Genomic DNA, 21,036 nt, shown 5'->3' on the forward strand with positions numbered 1-21,036 from the left:
TATAAATTTTTGTCAGTTTTTTTAAAAATAGGCCAGGTGCAGTGGCTCACACCTGTAATCCCAGCACTTGGGAGGCCAAGGTGGAAGGATCACTTGAGTTCAGGAGTTCAAGACCAGCCTAACATGGCAAGACCCCCGACACTACAAAAAATAAAAAATTAGCTGGTCATGGTGGCATGCACCTGTGGTCCCAGCTACATAGCTACATGAAGACTGAGGTGGGATGATAGCTTGAGTCCAGGAGGTTGAGGCTGCTGTGAGCTGTGTTCATGTCACTGCACTCCAGCCTGGGCAACAGCAAGACCCTGTCTCACAAAGTAAGTACATATCAAAAGAATGACTCAAGATAAACTATTTTGACTTAAACATTACAAAAGTGATAGGGTAAAATAATAAGTTTAGATTTTTGATATAGATCCTGCCTTCTTACAGAAATATTCTAATGATTTGAAACCAAAATTCCAGAGCTACTTAAACCATTTCACTCAATAAATATGTATTGAGTACTTTTTTTTTTTCTGAGATGAAGTCTTGTTCTGACACCCAGGCTGGTGTGCAATGGCTGTTCATAGGTGTGATCATAGCATACTGCAGCTTCAAAATCCTGGCATCAAGCAATCCTCCTGCTTCAGTCTGCTGAGTAGGTTGGACTACAGGCACGAACCACACAGTACCTGGCATTATTGAACACTTCTAATATGTCTACTATCAGAATGATTTAGAATAGCAATTCATTCTTTCCCTTATTGTCATGACCTTGATATTTTTTAAAGATCATGCACCAGCGATTTTGTAGAATAACCCTTCATTAGGGTTTGATGTCTTCTCATTATTAAATTCAGGTTAGGCATCTGTGTAGCCGAAATATCACAGAAGTTGTATTATCACATCAGATGGTGCCCAATTTCAGTTTGTTTCGTGGCTTATGTTCACTTTGATCACTTGATTAAGGTGGTGTATCCCAGAATTCATTGTGGAGTTACTCTCTTTATAGTACTTTTGAGGTGGTACTTTTGAGATTATGTAAATACTATGCTCCTCATCAAACTTGCAGTTCATTTACTTTTCAATATGAACTCATAGTTTCCTGATTCAGTGGTTCTCAAACTTGAGTGTGCGTCAGAATCTTTTGGAGGGCTTGTTAAAACAAAGACTGCCAGGTCCCATCTCTAGAGTTCCTGATTCTGTAGGTATGGAGTGAGACCTGAGAATGTGCATTTCTAACAAGTTTCCAGGTGGTACTGTTAGTGCTGCTGGCCCAGGGACCACATTTTATTACTTGTTATTGTCATTATTTTGATGCTCAAACTGTCTCTAATTTGGTCAGTGGCCAACTGGCTTCTGTGGCCTATTGACAAATCTTCATTAGTTGAACCCTTCTTTACTTTTTTGCCACAGTAAGATGTTCCAGGCTCATCTTGTACTTTCCCTGCCCCAACCCTGGAATTGGCCATTTCTTCAAGGATCCCTGGTTTCTTTTAGTGCTAAGTGGTACTTAGAAGCCAAGATCTGAGCACCAGATGTGCTCATTGCCTTGGGGAAAGTGCCACTCCCAGGCCTTTTCAGGGGACACATTTAGAGAACATTAGTATATACATACCTACATGTTCCTATTTAAACTTCTGTATCTATTGAAATCCATGACATCATACAGATGCCTCCAATTCTAACAATACTGTAGGGCTCCATCCTTCTCTTGACATTGAGGAACTGGGTCTCACTAGCTCTAAGATATTTAAATTATTTGATCAATCTCCCTGTATGTAACCAATCTCTCATCACCACTGCTGCCCCTCTCCCACATGGACATCCTCTTTGCACTCCTAAGGCTCTGACACTTCACACCTGGCTGCTCCTATCATAGATGCCCCCTTTACCCTGTTTGAGCTCCAACACCCTCTGCTGGCTTGCCCGCACTGCCATGGACATCCTTCTCTCTCGTACTGCATTCTAGGCTGCCCTCACAGATGGATGCTCTCCACACCTCACTTGGGCTCCAGCACTCAACACTGGACCTCCTCTGTGGCGTGGGAATGCTCTACCCTACCTAGCTCTGACCCACCACTCTGGGCTACCCACATGTGAGTACATTTTACTTGCTTGATCTCTGATTCCCCTCACTGGGTCACCCGCACCTCTGAGTGCCCTCCTCACCCTGCATGAGCCTTGACACCAGGCCCTGAGCCTTTCCTCTGTGTGGTTGTCCTCACAGTCCTCTGTGTGGGATCCAGAACTAGGCACCAAGCTCCCCACGTAGGAGGGTGCCCTCCCCATTCCCTCTGCTGAGGCTCGAACCAGCATGTCAGGCTGCTCCCCCATGTGGACACCTGACTCTCTTTGGGCTCTTACTCTACACTGGCTGTACCATCCCAGTGCCCCCACCACCCTCTACTGTCACCATTGCTGCTCTCCTCAGCCAGCTGTGGCTTTGACCCCTCACACCAGGCTGCTTCTCTGCATAGGTGCCTGCCTTTCTCTGGCCCACCTAATGGCTTTAGGGCTGAGTTGTTCAGAAGGAGGAGGGAAGGGTTATGGCCATATTATACACATAACAGAAAGAGAAAAAAGAAGGAAGGAGAAAAAATGTCTTTTTAAAACAAACTCACCTGGAAGGAAGAAAGAATATATGTGTGTGTGTGTGTGTGTGTGTGTGTGTGTGTGTATATATATATATATTTTTTTTTTTTTTTTTGAGACGGAGTTTCACTCTTGTTGCCCAGGCTGGAGTGCAGTGGCACAATCTCAGCTTACCACAGCCTCCACCTCCCAGGTGCAAGTGATTCTCCTGCCTCAGCCTCCCGAATAGCTGGGATTACAGGCATGCACCACCATGCCAGGCTAATTTTGTATTTTTAGTAGAGATGGGGTTTCTCCATGTTGGTCAGGTTGGTCTCAAACACCTGACCTCAGGTGATCCACCCACCTTGGCCTCCCAAAGTGCTAGGATTATGGGCGTGAGCCACTGCGCCCGGCCAGGAGAATATGGTTTTAAAACAAACTCACCTGGGGGTGGGGGAGGGAGAGACGATCTTTTTAAAACAAACTCACCTGGCAGCATAAACAAATAAGACAGATAAAACCAGAGCTCTCAAGCTGTTTTGCCTGAAGAAAGGATTGGAGAACCAAGAGAAGAAGAAAGGAGAAAAAAAAAATATATATATAATTATTATTATATATTATAATTGTATAATATAATTATATATAATATATAATAATTATATATATATATATATATATATTTTTTTTTTTGAGATGGAGTCTTGCTCTGTTGCCCAGGCTAGAGTGCAGTGGTGCGATCTCGGCTCACTGCAACCTCTGCCTCCTGGGTTCAAGCGATTCTCCTGCCTCAGCCTCCAAGTAGCTGGGATTACAGGTGCCCACCACCACGCCTGGCTAATTTTTGTATTTTTAGTAGAGATGGGGTTTCACTATCTTGGCCAGGCTGGTCTTGAACTCAAGTGATCTGCCTGCCTCGGCCTCCCAAAGTGCTGGGATTACAGGCGTGAGCCACCCGGCCAGGAGAATATATTTTTAAAACAAATTCACCTGGGAGGAGGGAGGGAATGAAGAAGGGAGGAAGGGAAGAGAAGGAAAGGAAGGGAGAGTTTTGTTTGTTTTTTTTTTTTTTTTTTGGAGGCAGAGTCTCACTCTGTCTCCCAGACTGGAGTGCAGTGGTGCGATCTCAGCTCGCTGCAACCTCTGCCTCCCAGGTTCAAGCAATTCTCATGTCTCAGCCTCCGCCGAATAGCTGGGATGACAGGCACCTGCCACCACACCCGGCTAATTTTTGTATGTTTTTAGACCTAAAACATGCTGGAAGGAGGAGACTTAGGATCTTGATTTAGATGAGGAATTCATGAATTGAATTTATTGGATTTTTAAGAGAGTTTTAGTGAAATGAATCAAAAGTCAAGTACACAATTCTCCAGAAATTGTTTGAAAATTAATTTTTGTGATGTGAAAAATAAGTAGCCACTATTGTATACAATTCTGTATTTGTGTTTTGGGCCAGTATGGCAAATCATGGCGTATTTAAAAAAAAAAATCTGTAAAGAAAAACTTCGTTATCCACATGTTAAAGTACAAAGGGAATATTGATAGTTAAAATAATTATACAGGCTGGATGTGGTGGCTCATGCCTGTAATCCTAGCACTTTGGGAGGATGAGGCAGACAGACTGCTTGAGCCCAGGAGGTCAAGACCAGCTTGGGCAACATGGCGAAACCCCATCTCTACAAAAAATACAAAAATTAGCCAGATATGGTGGCATGCCTGTAGTCCCAGCTGCTTGGGAGGCTGAGGTAGGAGGATCACTTGAGCCCAGGAGGTTGAGGATGCAGTGAGCCAAGATTGTGCCACTGCATTCCAGCCTGGGCAGCAGATTGAGACCCTGTCTCAAAAACATAGTGATAATAATAATTATACAAAATACTGTGTCATTGAAGAATAGAAAAAAACAGCAAACAGGGATAATTAGTTTAAAAGAGATTACATTTGAAAAATTTGTTTTTTTTGAAAACCAGTTTACTTTTAACTTGGTATAATAAAACATGTAGTTGGTTTTGAGGTGTAATTACTCCCAATTTCAAAGGCTTCTATCTTTTAAAAGCATTTCTGGGAGATAACTTAAATTTTAAAAATATTTTATTACAAGAAAAACATCTGCAAGAATCTGGTGGATGTCTTAACATCTAAATCTCTGAGCATAGACGCTGAGGCCTATGCTAATAAAGGTCAAGGTGTTTCCTGTTCCTTTGTATGAATAGAAGTGTGAAAAGCATGCCTTGTGTGAACGTAAACAAATGACTTAGAAAGTTTTTACTGATTTTCTGAAATGTATATTTCATAATAGGGAAGTGTCAATGGTAACATCATAAAGTTTACAGTGATTTAATATTTTACATGCAGTGATTTAGAAATAGCTTCTGTGATTTGGAATATTTTAGTATTAGGTTTGTGCAAAAGTAATTTCCATTGCTTTTAATGGCAAAAATTGCATTTACTTTTGCATCAACCTAATGGTAGCTTTTAAGGTCTTCAAAGCAGAAAGAATCAATGGCAAAACGTTAAAAGCAGCTTTCACTTGGCTAAGATGCCAAATTATCTTAACTTTAACCAAAGCAAGTTGTAGAGTCTAGGCTAAATGGTAGATTAATGTAATTCCTTATTTTCACCAGGAGCTTCCCTGCTATGTAATGTGTACAACTATTATCTATGCTCATGATATATATGTATGTGTTATAAGGGAATTAAATTCACTTCTATTTGTGAAGTTTTAATTTTGTACACAGCAACTGAGGTTTCATTGAGTTACCTCAGTTTAGAGAGCATGAGGTGCTAGGAATGTGATATTTGGGTTACTTGTAAAGTAGAAAAAGGAAGTTAAAAGCATTCTTTAATGTGGATTTTTCCTATGGTGGATAAGGGAAAATTTATATTTTATCAATGAAAAGCTCCATAAAATTAGTTGTGATTATTGTCATGAATATGTTGTCTCTGTTTTCTGGCTATAGACACTTATTTTGGTTATAGTAATCATTGTAAAGATGTTATTTTAAAATTTAATTAACTGTTTATACCTAAGATAGAAAACTTTCTTGAAATGTTTAGAGGTAATATGTGTTTGCAAAAGTGAATGAGGAAAAATGTCTGAAGTTGCTTTTTTTTTTTTTTCTTTTTTGAGACAGGGTTTCACTCTGTTGCCCAGGCTGGATGCAGTGGCATGATCTTGGCTCACTGTAGCCTCTACCTCCCGGGCTCAAGTGATCCTCTGCCTCTGCCTCCCCAGTAGCTGGGACCACAGGCATGCACCACCACACCCCGCTAATTTTTTATTTCGTATTTGTAGAGACAGGGTTTCACCATGTTGCCAAGGCTGAATTGCATCCTTAAACTCATACTTTGGTTTTTGTGATGTTATACCTGAATCAGATTTTGTACAGTATTTTCCTTCACTGTACACCTAGGTTTCAGGCAAATTGGAACCATTGCTGCTCCCTGAATATGCTCTGAAGTGTTGTCACCTCTGTTTCCTGCTCACACTGTTCTTCTCATGGCAGTGCCAGTGCTTATGCAACCCTTGTGTATTTACCCCGTTTTCTCCTTCCTCAGACACTACCTACTTGAAGCTGTCCTCCCTCCTTCAGAGCTGACATACTCCCTCTGACAATGTGTTCTGTCTTACCTTGTAATTATGCTTAGTTGTAGCTATTTCTTTTTATATTTTTATTTTTTGTATTTTTCGTAGAGACAGGGTTTCACCATGTTGGCCAGGCTGGTCTCGAACTCCGGAGCTCAGGTAATCTGCCCTCCTTGGCCTCCCAAAGTCCTGGGACTACAGGCGTGAGCCACTGCACCTGGCCAGTTGTAGCTATTTTTTCTTGCTGCCAGCCCTTTAACAAAAGTATGGTGCATTAAAATACATTATAAGCCAGCAGCTTGCACATAAAAATGGCTTGATAACATTTGGATAAATGAATAAACATTTGTTTTCTTAGGACCAAAAATAATATGTTTTTTTTTTTCTCTCTAAAGTATTCATGTGCTTTGATATATAACAAACATTTAGGATATTCTTAATTAAATGAATATGGCAGTAAGAATCTTGAAAGAAAAACGGGACCATTCCAATTTATGGGTTGGTGGTAGGCCACGTCAGATCTGCCTAAAACACTTTATAAACAAATAATGGGTCAGGTGCGGTGGCTTGTGCCTGTAATCCAGCACTTTGGGAGGCTGAGGCGGGCAGATCACTTGAGGTCAGGAGTTCGAGACCAGCCTGGGCAACATCATGAAACCCCCATCTCTACTAAAAATACAAAAATTAGCCAGGTGTGGTGGCACATACTTGTAATCCCAGCTACTTGGGAGGCTGAAGCAGGAGAGTCACTTGAATCTGGGAGGCAGAGGTTGCAGTGAGCCGAGTTTGTGCCACTGTGCTCCAGCCTGAATGACAGAGCAAGACTCTGTCTCAAAAACAAAAACATTTATTATTATTACTTATTGAGCCTTATGGAGTTTCTTGCACAGGGCCAAGAGTCCATTCATTGCTCCTTCATTGCTTCTGTGTAGCCATGCTTTGGATTTAAGAATCATTCAATTTGATTTACCTTTACATTAAAAGCTATGCTGGTGTTTTAGGGGCAAGATTTACTTGCACTATTAAAATTGGCCTTCTCTCTGGTATAGGCCTTTATTTGGAGTCCCAGTTGCTCTCACTGTCTATGGTGGAAAGTAGAACTGCCTTTAGATCATAGTTGGTAGTTTTTTATCTTTTTTTTTTTGTCTTTGCTTTTTTTAAGACAGGGTCTCGCTCTGTCGCCCACGCTGCAGTGCAGTAGCACAGTCTCAGCTCACTGCAACCTCTGCCTCCTGGGTTTAAGCGATTCTCCCACCTCAGTCTCCTGAGTAGATGGGACCACAGACGTGTGCCACCATGCCTGGCAATTTTTATATTTTTTTGTAGAGGTGGGGTTTCGCATTGTTGCCCAGGCTGGTCTTGATTTCCTGAGCTCAAGTGATCCACCCACCTCGGCCTCCCAAAGTACTGGGATTACAGGCATGAGCCACTGTGCCTGGGCTAACACTCAATTTCACTCTGTATGTCAGGCTCTGTTCTAAGTACATTTATTAAGTCAATTGGATTCTTATGTGAACCCTGTATGGTAGGTATAATATTATTATCCTTCACTCACAGGCATAGAGAGGTAGGTCTCATATTTAATAAGGGGCAGGCCCAGGATGTGAACCCAGGAAGTCTGGCTCCAGAGTTCATGCACCAGTGTCTAAGTTAAAGAGGCTATTCAAAGTCAAGAAAGTCCCTGTGTGTGTTTGAAGGAACTACCAAAGATTTTTGAGCAAATGAGTAACACTGGCAGATTCCTACTTTTATAGTAAGCCCCAGCTCAAAGGGCCTCATCTGTGTTCCCCATTTGGTTGTTAATCTCCTGAGGCTTGCCTAGCACTTAATTTATGTATGTTTTGCATCCACCATGTTGATCCTAATGTGTCCATTTACATGTCTGTCTACCCTAGTAAATGGGACTTGACTAGTAAATGTGAGACAATGGGAGGGCAGTAATTGAGGATCCATTTTTCTCAACAAATCAGCCTAAATCATGATCTAATTAGAAACAATGTGCTGGCCTTGCAAACCAGCTTTTAGGCAAATGTCTTCCTTCCCATTCTAGAATGGGACCTCTCAACTCCTTTTATATGGAATGAGTAGATGCTACTAGATTCTGCAGCCTTTTGTCAGTTACATCCCAGCACAATCCCTGGCTCATTCATTCACCTGCGTGAGGGAGCAAGTGCTTTCCTCGAACAAGTACTTCCTTCCTTGCCAGGCACTGTTTTAGGTGGTGGGATTATAGCAGGGATCAAAACAGTTTGAAGTTTCTGCCCTTGGGAAGCTTATGTTCTAATTTATAATACAATGTCAGGTAGTCTAAGTGCTGTGATAGAAAATGAAGAAGGGTTCTGGGGATTGAAAGTGGTAGAGAGAGCTCAGTTTTGACAGCCTACTGTGTACATACTGGGTGCCTCAAAAATGCTGAGCCCAGGAGTTCGAGACCAGCCTGGGCAACATGGCAAAACCTTTTGTCTCCACAAAAAATACAAAAATTAACTGGGCGTGGTGCTGTGTGCGCCTATAGTCCCAGCTACTTTGGGGGCTGAGGCAGGAGGATGGCTTGAGCCAGGGAGGTGGAGGTTGCAATGAGCCAAGATCACGCCACTGCACTCCAGCCTGGGTGACTGAGTGAGACCCTGTCTCAAAATAAATAAATAAATAAATAAATAAATAAATAAATAAATAAAATAAAAAATAAAAGCTGGAATGAAAGTTAAAGCTCAAGATAGACATCAAGTTTACTGTCCCAAACTAGAATGAACTATAATGTTATAATTCTATTCTGAAGGATGAATATTTTTTAAAGTAACCCATGCTTAAAAATAAAGTCAGGCTCCAGTCCTAGATGAAGCTCAGCCCTGCTAGGAAATACTTGACTTGAATTCAAGAACTTGCTCACTTACTGAATTAAAACAGAATGATAGTTTTCAGGGTCAAGTTTACAGGCATCTTTTAATTAATGAATTTGTTAATATTTTCCATCGGGGACCTGAAGAAGGATTTAGCTGGCTCTAAGATGACAGAGAAAAGGACTTTTCTGAGTGAATAAATTAGACATGCCAGCAATGGTGATAATTGGGAAGCTAGCCAAAATGTAGCTCAGCCAGGGCTCATTCTCATTTAAAGTCATTCTGTGTCCTAGTCTGTCATCAGAAGAGCTGCTTTGAAGCCGGCTTCTCGGCTGCTTTGTTTGGCATTGGAGGACAACCACTAATTAGGACGTTATGTATCTAAAGATGTAGCTGTTTCCAAGCCTTTGCCAGTTCTTCTTAGAACAATGAACTTAGAAAGCTTGGGGTTTGCATCCTGGCACTGGAAGTTTGGAGGACACCCAGCTCCGATGTGACCACTTCTGAGAGCCTTCCCGCGCTCGCCTCTTCACCCCTTGCCTCCTCCACACCCCCTTCCCTGCAGAGCCGCATTCAAACCCTGGGCGAGCTCGGCTCCTGTTGTATTAGTGCTGCTTTATCTGTGCCCCCTCCTTAGGCTACTTTGGGACCCATTCAGGACTGGGAGCTGCCTTGTCCATCCTGTTATCCCCAGCAGCTCACAGCGCCTGACATATGGTGGGTTCTTAATAATTTCTGGTGGAATTGAGTTTGATCAAAGGGTCCACTTGAGCATACTCTCTTAGGAGAAAGAGAAGTGCCTTCGAGTCTGTGGCCTACATTATCTTCTTAAAGCAGGCAATGGAAGCAGAAATGAAGCCCTGCTGCTTGTTGATACTCAATTCTCCGAGTGCAAGTGCCAAGGCACGCCTGGCCACCTGCTCCCGCTTAACGGGTGGGCCCTGCGGGTGTGACAGGAGGGGTGGCCCGTCCGGCCTCGTGTTCCAAGTGCCAGAAGGACAAGCCCACAGTGGTAGGGATTTCCCTTTGAAAAGACATCTGTGCCACTTCACTGTTCTGTGCTCTGCCTTTGCTGAACTGCTCAAGCCACTCGCAAGAGCCATTTCTTGATTTTCATATATCCTCAAAAAGAAGAGTCAGCAGGTTTTTTCTTGTTAAAGTGAGCTTTGGAAGTGACAGATGGACCGTGTTAGCAAAGGTGAAGAATGTTTCTTCCACTCCTTATCACCTCTTTCCTGCTCTCCTACTTTGGTTACTCGCAATTTTTTCCTAGGCAAGTCTGAGAATACTAAACATTAGGCCAACTTCAAATTGATTTCCACTGCCTCTCAGGAGGGAAGATGTTTCTACTAACTTTTCTTTGGGAGCAATTTGAATCTGTTTACTTATATCTACTATGTTTCCTATGAAGTGAGAAGCCAAAAGCTTATGGCTTGCTTTTGGGTCAGCGGGGGCCAAGACTGTGACCAACTGGTAATTTCAAAAAATACAGCACAGAAGTGGAATAATCTCTTTAAGGAATGCCATCCTCAAAGTCAGAGGGCAAATCTCTGGAAGTGAGCCCCTCTGCCAGTGGAGAGAGAGGGGTTGAGGTGGGGGGTAACTGATGGATCTTTGAGCCCAAGGAGGCAGGAAAGGTGGGAATACTAGAGGAAAAACAGCACTTCCATTGTGCCTGGAGGGAGGAAAACCACCAGGGTATAGATGTAGACAGGGACAGCTTCCTTCCCACGACTTCTCATTCCTTATGAAGTTGGGAGTGTGATATTCTTTGGAAGGAACAGAGTATGGTTCCCTCCATACTCTGGAAAGAAGTGGTGGGACAAGAGATTTGAGGAATGGGAAGAATTTGAATTGGCTGCCATGGAGACCGGCAGGGAGAGCTGATCGGGATACCCAGAGGGATTGTTGGTCTGCCCTGGGGGCCCTTGCAGTCGGAGACCATGAACTTGTACTTGCCCAGCCATGAGATCCAGAGGCATTTATGCAAATTCCCTTTGAAGCCAAAGTTTAGAAGTGGGAGTTGGGGGTGGCGGAGCTAGAGTTATCCAGGTTTGGGGATTTGCCAGGGGAGTGCAATGTAAAGATAATGTACATGGCAGGGGAGTTAAAGAGATTTATAAGACAGATGCACCGTGGAGTCTGGGTTTGATAGGGAAGGAAGTAAAAACAGGAAGGGGTTGATAGAAAAGGAGAAAGTAGAGGAGTCAAGATATTGAACCTCTTGCTGAAATAAAATACAGGTGTGGTAGCAGTCACTGGAATGAAAGGTGGTAGCTTGAGATCTGAGTAGACTGGATTAAAGGCTTCAGAGATAGAGCAATTGTGGATGGTGAAAAGGTCCAGGGAGTGGTGAAAGAAAGGGTGGTTTAGGTGTCATTGAGAGGACACTCCTCTGAGATCAAAGAACTGAAATCTTGAAGCTATAAAGGACCTGGTGTGAAAAGGAAGACTGGGCAAGTTGCCAAAGGCTTCCGGAATGAGGAGGAGGAATGACTGGAGGTTGGCATCTGACATTGGCAATGTGGACTGTAAAGGCTGGTTTGGCATCAGCCTGAATGAATAGAGGAAATGTCACCTGGAACTGACATTGTGGTTCTTCTCTCAACTCCTAGGTGCAGTCTGTGGGGTGAGGGAGAATAAGTGGCATCCCCTTGAGAGGAGAACAGGGGAGACGCAGTGTCCCTGCAAGGATGAGCAAGGTGGAGAGAAGGACCCATTGGTGATATGGCTTCAGATGAGAGATTTTTACCATGGAATGAAGTTCTAGAGGGCTCAGATAAAGGTTATGCAGAGAGGGAGCAATGAGAGGTTGGTGAATGGCGAGGAAGATCAGATCTCTTGTGGATGTTAGAGTGTAGCCAAAGAGATGACCTGAGAAGCCTGCATTTTGGCCCTTGACTAAAGAAAATGGGAATTTGGTGTTTGGAGACACTAGCTGGCTACAAGTTTTCTAAAAGAATGAGTTCCAGAAGTCGTCTAGTGCATGGGAGGAGGTAGAGTGGGACTCCAGGCCTTCTAGAAGGAGGTAGCCTTCCTTGGACTGAGGAGGAATGATTTTCCCACAGAACAAAGAGCATGATCAGAGGCACAGAGGGAGTTTCACGATACCAGGGTCCAGAAACTAAGTAGGTCAGTGCCGCTGGGATGCAGTGTTTGTGGAAGAGTGCCTGCCTGTCAGGTGGGGCCAGATTATGAGAAGCCTTGCAGCACTTACTCAGGACTTTAGACTTTATGCAGAGATGTGACGCAATGAGAGTTCCCTGATGCCAGCGAGAAGGGCGGACTGAGGGCAGACCAGGCAGGAGACCAGGAGCATGGACATTCCTGGCACGGAGAACATAAAGTGATGAGAGCTACAGAGGAGTCAGAAGTGATACCCAATGAGAGAGAAAGAGAGACAAAGTGGCAGGGGAAGAGAGGAGAGATAACTAGGAGAGAGGCCAGATGCGGAGGCTCATGCCTATAGTCCCAGCATTTTGGGAGGCCAAGGTGGGCGGATCACTTGAGGTCAGGAATTCGAGACCAGCCTGGCCAACATGGTGAAACCCCGTCTCTACTAAAAATACAAAAATTAGCCTGGTGTGGTGATGTGTGCCTGTAGTCCCAGCTACTCGGGAGGCTGAGGCAGAAAATTGCTTGAACCCAGGAGGTGGAGGCTGCAGTGAGCTGAGATCGCACCACAGCACTCCAGCCTGGGCGACAGAGTGAGACTCTGTCTCAAAAAAGAAAGAAAGAAAGAAAGAAAGATAGGAGAGAATGAGAGCTAGAGACAGAGAGAGAGAAATAAGGGGATGGGAGTAGAGAGATAGGTGAGAGAGAGGAGAGAGAGAGAAGAGAGACAGAGACATAAGAGAGAGAGAGACAGAGAGAGAAGGTGCTGAGAAGAGGGAGAAAACTTCAGAACACTAAGGTCTGCCCAGGCTTATACCACAGGAACATCTGAACAGTAACACAGGTACTAAGGAATGGATCTTTTTGTACATTTGGCTTTTTTGCATCTGATGTGAACAGATAAGTATAGTAGCTGTTTGTTATGCTTCCTTTTAATAAATGATGATTATCAACTGTCATAAACCTCCTGCAATTTAGATTCAGATCCTGCATCACTTAGAAACCAAATATATGTGCATCATTGATGCTGCAGTGACCACATCACCTGAAAATCCTTAAATGAGACATCATTATTCTTGATTTGTAAATTTATTCATGCTCTGTCTTCTTTAATTAAAGATTCCAGGGAAAAGTAATTCAGAAAGAGGAGGACAGACTAGAGAATTAAAAGGTAACTAAAATAAAGGTCTACGTAGGGACCTAAGGTAAAATTTAGTGCTCTGAAGAGCTACGGAGACTAATGAATTCACACGGTGAATATTAGATGTGAAATTCTCAGTTGTTGACCCTTGGGTTGTTTAAACATTCTGAATTTATCTGGATTTCTCCATGATGGAAGTTGACAAAACTATTTAATATTAACTCATCACTATTTTATTCCTTTTGTTCTCCTGTGATAATAACAGGAGTCTGGCCGGGCATGCTGGCTCATGCCTGTAATCCCAACACTTTGGGAGGCCGAGGCAGGTGGATCACCTGAGGTCGGGAGTTCGAGACCAGCCTGACCAACATAGAGAAACCCCGTCTCTACTAAAAATACAAAATTAGCCGGGCGTGGTGGCACATGCCTGTAATCCCAACTACTCAGGAGGCTGAGGCAGGAGAATCGCTTGCACCTGGGAGATGGAGGTTGCAGTGAGCTGAGATCATGCCATTGCATTCCAGCCTGGGCAACAAGAGCGAAACTCCATCTCAAAAAATGAACAAACAAACAAACAAAAAAAACAGGAGTCTATATAGACTGGGAAGTTCAGTCCCATGATAGGTAATAGGTAGATTATTTTTGCTGACCTCCTGATCGTTAGTTTGTCTTACAATGTTTTCATGACCATCGTCTCCAAGTTGGAGCCAAACGTCTTTATTTTACAAGATTTTTCACCAGTGGTCACTCTCCAGTTGAATGAACATTTGCTTGTTCATTCTTCTCATTTTAAAAGTCTTATTCCATCTTACTAGAAGCCACTTGTTTACATTCTGGAGCCCAATACAGTAATAGAGACTGTTTTTCTTATTGTATATCTCTGTGGTCTGAGTTCCTTAACCTGCATGATGACAAATGGAGTACAGGCCATCGATATATGTGTGTGTCTGTGTGCTTGCATGCAAGTGTGTGCGTTCTTGTACATGAGAGTGAACTGGTCCTGGGTCAGATTCAAAGTCAGAATTTGAAACTTAAGAGTTCTCTGTAATTCCAGCTTCCACCTGCTGTGAGGTGTTGTGCAGACATGATAATAAAGTTTGTAGCTGGAGGGGCCTTAGGTTATCTGATCCATCCTATTCTCCTGGCCCGAAGTCATGCAGAGGCAGTGAGACAGAGCAGGACCAGAACCCACATTTCTTGACCTCCCAGTTACTCGGTTTGCATCTGTGAATCAGGATAATTGAAACACTGTTGTAATTTTGATGGAGAATGCAGAAATGAAGATTTGTCCTTTAAAATAAATATTTTAAGGATGAGAATAGAAAGCAGGAGAACTTGGCATTGGGTGGAGCTTCTCCTAAGGGCTCATCTCACAGGTGTGGATGTTTCTGGTGTTTGGGTGCCGTCGGGCCTGGAGGGGAAAGGCACCCTCCCTCATCATGACATCCATACATGAGGGCTACATTCTAGAATAGCACACAGGGCAGAAATGTAGCAAAGTGAAGGCCTCCCACTGAAAATATTTTAGGAAGAGACTGGCATAGTGTCTCAGGAAGACAAAACAACTAGCATTTCCTCCCGCATTGGACAGGTGACAGTTTCTTCATGGAAGCACTAGGGGAAGTCACTGGTTTGCATTTAGGGGCCATGGTGTGCCCCAAACACACATCTCTTTTGCCACTGAGCAATGAGACGCTCACCCTTCCAGAGGCCCATGGTCCACGGCTAACTGAGGCGACAGTAGGGTCAGTCTTCATCCCAGCTTACTCTGGACTAAGCTCAGAGGGAGCAGGGCAGACAGTGGCATCTATGCTACATGAAAACAAAAAACTCTCTAGAGGTTTTAAATTGTAATCGGATAACTGTATTTAAATAATTTAAAAGCATATTTGCATGGTCAATGCCACCATAGATTATTATTTTGTTGAAACCAATTAATTCCAATACAAAAGTCATCTAAATGAGATTGTCTCAGTCCGTCAACAGACTTCTCTCTTCTTTTATGTACTTTCTTCCCACCACTTACTTACTTTTGCCAAACATATCTTCTATTTTTTTAGTAGAATTATTTTAAACACCTGCTAACTCCTACTAATTATATATTGTTTAGAAAATGATACTCACTTTCTATGTCCTTCTATTTACTTTTTTGTCTATTCCCTTCTCTAAGCTTGTCAGCTACAGCTTGTTTACTCTTTAGAGGTAAGGGTAAGGGCTTTTTTTTTTTTAAATTAAAAAAAATTTTATATGTTTATCATCTTGGAGGTGTGTTTAGGTAAAATCATATTTAATGACTTCCCCCTCCTTCAATTTTTCCTCTATTGCATTATTCTAATTTCCCAGCTCAGTCATTTATTGGCAGTGTGATTTGGCACTTTGTTTAATTTTTTTTTATTTTTTGTTTTGACACTTTTTTTTTTTTTTGAGACAAGGTCTCTGTTGCCCAGGCTGGAGTGCAGTGGTGCAATCAAGGCTCACTGCAGCCTCGACCTCCTAGGCTCAGGTGATCCTCCCACTGAAGCCTCCCAAGTAGCTGGTTGATTTTTGTATCTTTTGGAGAGATGGGGTCTCACTGTGTTGCCCAGGTTTGTCTTGAATTCCTGGGCTCAAGCTATGCCCCCTGCCTTGGCCTCCCAAAGTGTTGGAATTACAGGTGTGAGCCACCGCTCCTGGCTGATGCAATTTTCTTAACTTATTGAAGCCTGCTTCTCTTCTGTAAAGCAGGGATGATAACAGCACTTTCCTCATAGTTGTTTTTATGAAAATAAAGCAATCAGCAATCAGAGCAGACTGATCTAGTACAGCAAATGTTTAATTAATGGGAACAACTAAGATGTTCAGTTTTTAACATAATACTTGCATTCTAAATTACATGCAAATTGCTGCTGCCTGAGGATAAAGAATATTTTTATTGTTAGTTATCATCTCATTTTATTTCATCCCCACAGAACATTTGGGGTTGGGCTATGAAACTGTTTTGAGTAGGGAGATTTCCTCATATCTTTTTATTTCTTTTAGTCTTTAATGGACTTTGTTTTTTAGAGCAGTGTTAGGTTCCCAGCAAAATTGAGCAGAAAATACAAAGATTTCTTATACACTCCCTGTCCCTGCCACCCCCCATCTTCCCCCACTATGAACATCCTGCACCAGAGTGGTCCATTTTTACAATCGATGAACCTACAAATGGCTTTTTTTTTTTTAATCATAATACTCTCAGGATAAGGTAGCAGGTCAAAGGGGCACAGCTGCATCTTAACCTTTCATTATCTCTTCAAGATGCAGGACCTACTTGGAATTGGATGGACTGGTTAGAATAGTACAATCAGTGTGTCCTGTCTGACTGTCCCTTTTCTTGTCTCTTCTCCTTTATGAAGTTCTTTAAGGACCTCAAAATGCAGAACTGCAGCAGGAACCCGACAATGGGGTGGGAGACAAAGCCAGCTTCAGAGATGCCAGTGTTTACGCTGAAGGGACGTGGGCAGAATCCGCCGACAAATAATCACACCACAGTCCATTGAGCCCGAGCGAGGTCCCAGTGGGAGTGGTGAATGAGTAACTAGTGTCCCCAGCAGCCCTCTTCATTCTGCATGATAGCACAGAATAAACCATGCCGGGGCGGCGAGGATCCCACCCTCCAGTTACTGTTTCCTCAACCCGGCTGCCCCAGTGCTCACTCCTCTGGCCAGCATGCAGGCACAAGCTTGGAGAATCGGGCAGGAAGACGCAGCTAAGCATTAACTTTCAAATTCAGCTCTGCCCAAATTAAAGAGAGGGACGGGGTATATAGAGTTCTCAGAACTGTGTCTGGATGGTCAGCATATTCCATGTTGATTTCTTTTTTGCAAGGTCACCATGCTATTAGTTACAGAAGTGATAATATTATTTCTTCTCTCCAAACAACCAGATGTTTTAAAAGTTAATAGAAGTGGAATTTGAACCTGAGATGTAAAAATGAGCCAAGAACAAGGTCTCAGAAAGCCTCCTGGTAACTTCTGTCTATTGATTTACTAAAAGAGGAAGAAAAACATCATAAAAACAAAAGATGAAGAGGAAATCTTCACTTTTTTTAGACTTTTCCATCTTCATGTCTGTTGTCAAGTATTTTGTCAAGAAATGCATTATAACCTCATTTAAAAAAATAAACAGAACTTATGAAGCAATTCTCTTGGAGAATAACTGGAATAGTTTCTAGCGATGTTTCAAAAGACAGACTCACCTGCCTGGTGTTTTTGTAGGTCTGGTGATGGTCTGTGTTCAGCTGAGCAGAATGAAACAGCGCTGACAGACAGAAGACACCTCACCCTCTGTCTTTCACTTTGGCAAAGTGGGCATCTGATTTACAGGACTGGGAAATAAAACACACACACAAAACCTATACCTCTTTTGGCTTACCGTATGTTGTTTCATCATCAACTGGCTCACTTAACCATGAATGTGAAAGGTTGAAAAGCTTATTTAAATGTGGGCTACTGAACTTTCCTGGGGCTACAAGAACTGATACTTTGTTCAGCCATTACACTCAGTGAAACTCTCTTTTTAAATGAACCTCGTTTCACATTATACAAACTGGACCAGACTGGCTGGAAAGGGCAGGAGGCTCCCTGTGCAGGCCCACGGTGGAAGGGGGCCAGCGTGATTGCAGACAGGGTCCCCCTCTGCTGGAAAGCTTCCAATTCTCTAACTACCAGCATCTTCCATTTTCCCTATTAGCTTTCTCCTGTGATAATTTTTCTACTTTTACCTTGTAAACCAAAAATAAGATTCACAGCCCCCTGACCATCTGAACGGACCCCTCCTCTTGGCAAGGGCATTCCAAAGCTAACCTGAAAAACTAGCTCAGGCCATGATGGGAAAGAGGAGCTGGACATGCCTCGTTATGCCCTATTCCCTTTTGGAATTACTGATAGAACAGACTATTTAAGTCTCATAAGAAACTGGGCAGGCATGGTGGCTCACGCCTATAATCCCAGCACTTCGGGAGGCTGAGGTGGGCGGATCACCTGAGGTCAGGAGTTCAAGAGCAGCCTGGCCAACATGCTGAGACCCCATCTCTACTGAAAAATACAAAAGTTAGCCAGGCGTGGTGGCACACACCTGTAATCCCAGCTACTCAGGAAGCTGAGACAGGAGAATCGCTTGATCCTGGGAGGCAGATATTGCAGTGAGCCGAGATCATGCCACTGTACTCCAGCCTGAGTGAGTGAGGCTCCATTTCAAAAAAAAAAAGAAAAGAAACATTTACGATCTATTCTCCCTGAAGTCTGCTACCTGGAGGCTTCATCTTCATCTGCATGACAAAACACTGGTCTCTGCAACCCCTTATTGTAACTCAGACTTTCCTTTCTATTGATAACTCTTTCAACCAATTGCCAATCAGAAAATCTTTGAATCTGCCTGTGACTTCAAAGCCCCACCTCCCCACCGCAACCCCTTCCGGTTGTCCCACCTTTCTGGACCAAACCAATGTATATCTTACATGTATTGATGCCTATGTCTTCCTAAAATGTATAAAACCAAGTTGTGGCCCTACTACCTCGGGCACATGTTCTCAGGACCTCCTGAGAGTGGTGTTACAGGCCATTGGTCACTCATATTTGCCTCAGAATAAATTTCTTAAAACGTGTTACAGATTTTGACCCTTTTCATTGACCATCTGTTTTGGTAAATGGCTGTAAAAGCATTAAGACATTAACATCTAAAGCTGTACCCCCAATTCAATCCTTTCTACCCCTTGTTTATTTTTTTCTTCCTTACCATTTATCACCATCTAACATACTATTTATTTTATTTAAACATTTTCTTTATTATCATCTCTCTCTCCTGCTAGAGAGTAAGCTTCATTAGGCTGAGGGCTTTTTGTTTGTGTTTATTATTATTATTATTATTTTTGAGATGATGTTTCACTCTGTCACCCAGGCTGGAGTGCAGTGACGCAATCTTGGCTCACTGCAACTTCTGCCTCCCAGGTTCAGGCAATTCTCCTGTCTCAGTGTCCCAAGTAGCTGGGACTACAGGCGTGTGCCATCATGCCTGGCTAATTTTTGTATTTTTAGTAGAGACGGGGTTTCACCATGTTGGCTAGGCTGCTCTTGAACTCCTGATCTCAAGTGATCTGCCCGCCTCGGCCTCCCAAAGTACTGGCGTTACAGGTGTGAGCTACTGCACCCAGCCTGTGTTGTAATCTCAACACCTAAATCACTGCCTGGCACCTCATAGATGCTCAATAAATACTTGTGGAATGAATGAATGATGGCAGGCCCTATAGCTCAAGCCCACTTCATACCTCTTAGTCCAATGTTACTCAGAGGTCTGGTTGCCAAATATGGGTCTAGTTGATTTTGTGGCAGGGTTAAGGATTAGAAGATATGGTTGTCATCATGGGAGTATGCTGTGCAGTTGCAGAGGGACTCAAAAGGGTCCTGTACTTGGCTTAATGCTCTGCTGTCACTGCCAAAAATTCTTAATATTTTTTTCTTTGAACTTCTGCTTTATAAGTGAAATCTAATGGGATAACCAAACACACAGGTGAGAGAGAGACACATGTAATGTGAGTGTCCAATTCTGTTCTTTGCCACTCCATTTGCATATAACATTCATGACACCCCAGGAACACAAAAATCTAGTGGACCCACAATCTGTGGGAGTTTAGTGAGACTCAAAGCAGGTACAAGGTGTTAAATTAAATTTGACCTAAAGCTGTATCTGTACATAGCAAACTCCAGTGTAACTTAGTAAGTAAACAAATTGTAACCTAACTTAAGGAGTGTATTCTTATAACAAATAACTAAGTCTTAGCCAATCACAGCAGCTAAACTTCAGCCAATCACAGGCTGCCGGCTGATCAGACCATGTCCATATAACGCGATGCAGAGCTGTAAGCAATCGATCTACTGTTTCTGTACATCACTTTCTTTCTCTGTCTGTAGATACTGCCTGCCTGCACTGCTGGGTGGAGCTCTCTGAACCCCTCCTGGTTCAGACTGCTGCTCAATTCATGAATTGTTCTTTGCTTAAATAAACACTGCCAAATTTAATTTGTCTCCTTTTTTTTGTTTTAACAAAAGTAAGGGTGTTATGCCTATGCCTGAGTCAGCAGGGGCTGTCACAGGCTAAGAGCCCGTGCTTTTTGTCTGAATCAGAATTTGCTTTGAACATAGAAATAAAGCCAGAAACACAAATGATCAAGGAATCCTATCATCTGCTCTTACTCCTGTTCCTTTTCTGTATTAGCCAACCACTAACACTGAAAATGACATAGGAGAGGGAAAGATACTGCAACCAATAGTACCTTTTCCTTTACCCCTTCCTTCCTTGTCAGTAAGCTGAAAGTAGAATGTTAGTTCTCTGATTTGTATTAGGAAGTGAGCTGAAATTAGTTGAGTTAGTTTGGTGCAGCAGTTCCACTGTTCTGTTAAGAATGAACTGGCCAGGCACGGTGGCTCACGCCTGTAATCCCAGCACTTTGGGAGGCCAAGGCGGGCAGATCACGAGGTCAGGAGATAGAGACCATCCTGGCTAACATGGTGAAACCCCGTCTCTACTAAAAATACAAAAAAACTAGCTGGGCGTGATGGTGGGCGCTTGTAGTCCCAGCTACTCAGGAGGCTGAGGCAGGAGAATGGCGTGAACCTGGGAGGTGGAGCTTGCAGTGAGCCGAGATTGCGCCACTGCACTCCAGCCTAGGTGACAGAGCAGGACTTTGTCTAAAAAAAAAAAAAAAAAAAAAAATGAACTACAGGCTGGGTTCAGTGGTTCACACCTACAATATCAGCACTTTGGGAGGCTGAAGTGGGAGGATCGCT

At 43.1% G+C, this 21,036-nt stretch overlaps 1 long non-coding RNA gene across 1 annotated transcript in view, besides 3 other annotated features; it reads left to right on the forward strand.

Annotated features, from left to right (window-relative positions):
* The first annotated feature begins 247 nt into the window (after positions 1-247).
* Positions 248-21,036, forward strand: part of LOC124901982 (uncharacterized) — a 29,564-nt gene continuing 8,775 nt past the window's right edge. Inside the window, exon 1 of the long non-coding RNA XR_007061015.1 lies at positions 248-2,081. This is a non-coding gene — a long non-coding RNA (uncharacterized LOC124901982). The remainder of the gene's footprint in view (positions 2,082-21,036) is intronic.
* Positions 2,227-2,431: a transcriptional cis regulatory region, noted in NCBI's record as "candidate enhancer chr8.2347 targeted for multiplex CRISPR interference". NCBI's record gives its function as "positively regulates INTS8 gene expression with high confidence in K562 cells {active_cell/tissue: K562}" and the evidence as "EXISTENCE:mutant phenotype evidence [ECO:0000015][PMID:30612741]".
* Positions 7,315-7,364: a silencer, noted in NCBI's record as "silent region_19384". NCBI's record gives its function as "represses an Ori minimal core promoter by ATAC-STARR-seq in GM12878 lymphoblastoid cells {active_cell/tissue: GM12878}" and the evidence as "EXISTENCE:reporter gene assay evidence [ECO:0000049][PMID:35858748]".
* Positions 17,490-17,739: an enhancer, noted in NCBI's record as "active region_27649". NCBI's record gives its function as "activates an Ori minimal core promoter by ATAC-STARR-seq in GM12878 lymphoblastoid cells {active_cell/tissue: GM12878}" and the evidence as "EXISTENCE:reporter gene assay evidence [ECO:0000049][PMID:35858748]".

This window comes from Homo sapiens, chromosome 8, assembly GCF_000001405.40.
Source record: "Homo sapiens chromosome 8, GRCh38.p14 Primary Assembly".
Taxonomy (NCBI): Eukaryota; Metazoa; Chordata; class Mammalia; order Primates; family Hominidae; genus Homo; species Homo sapiens.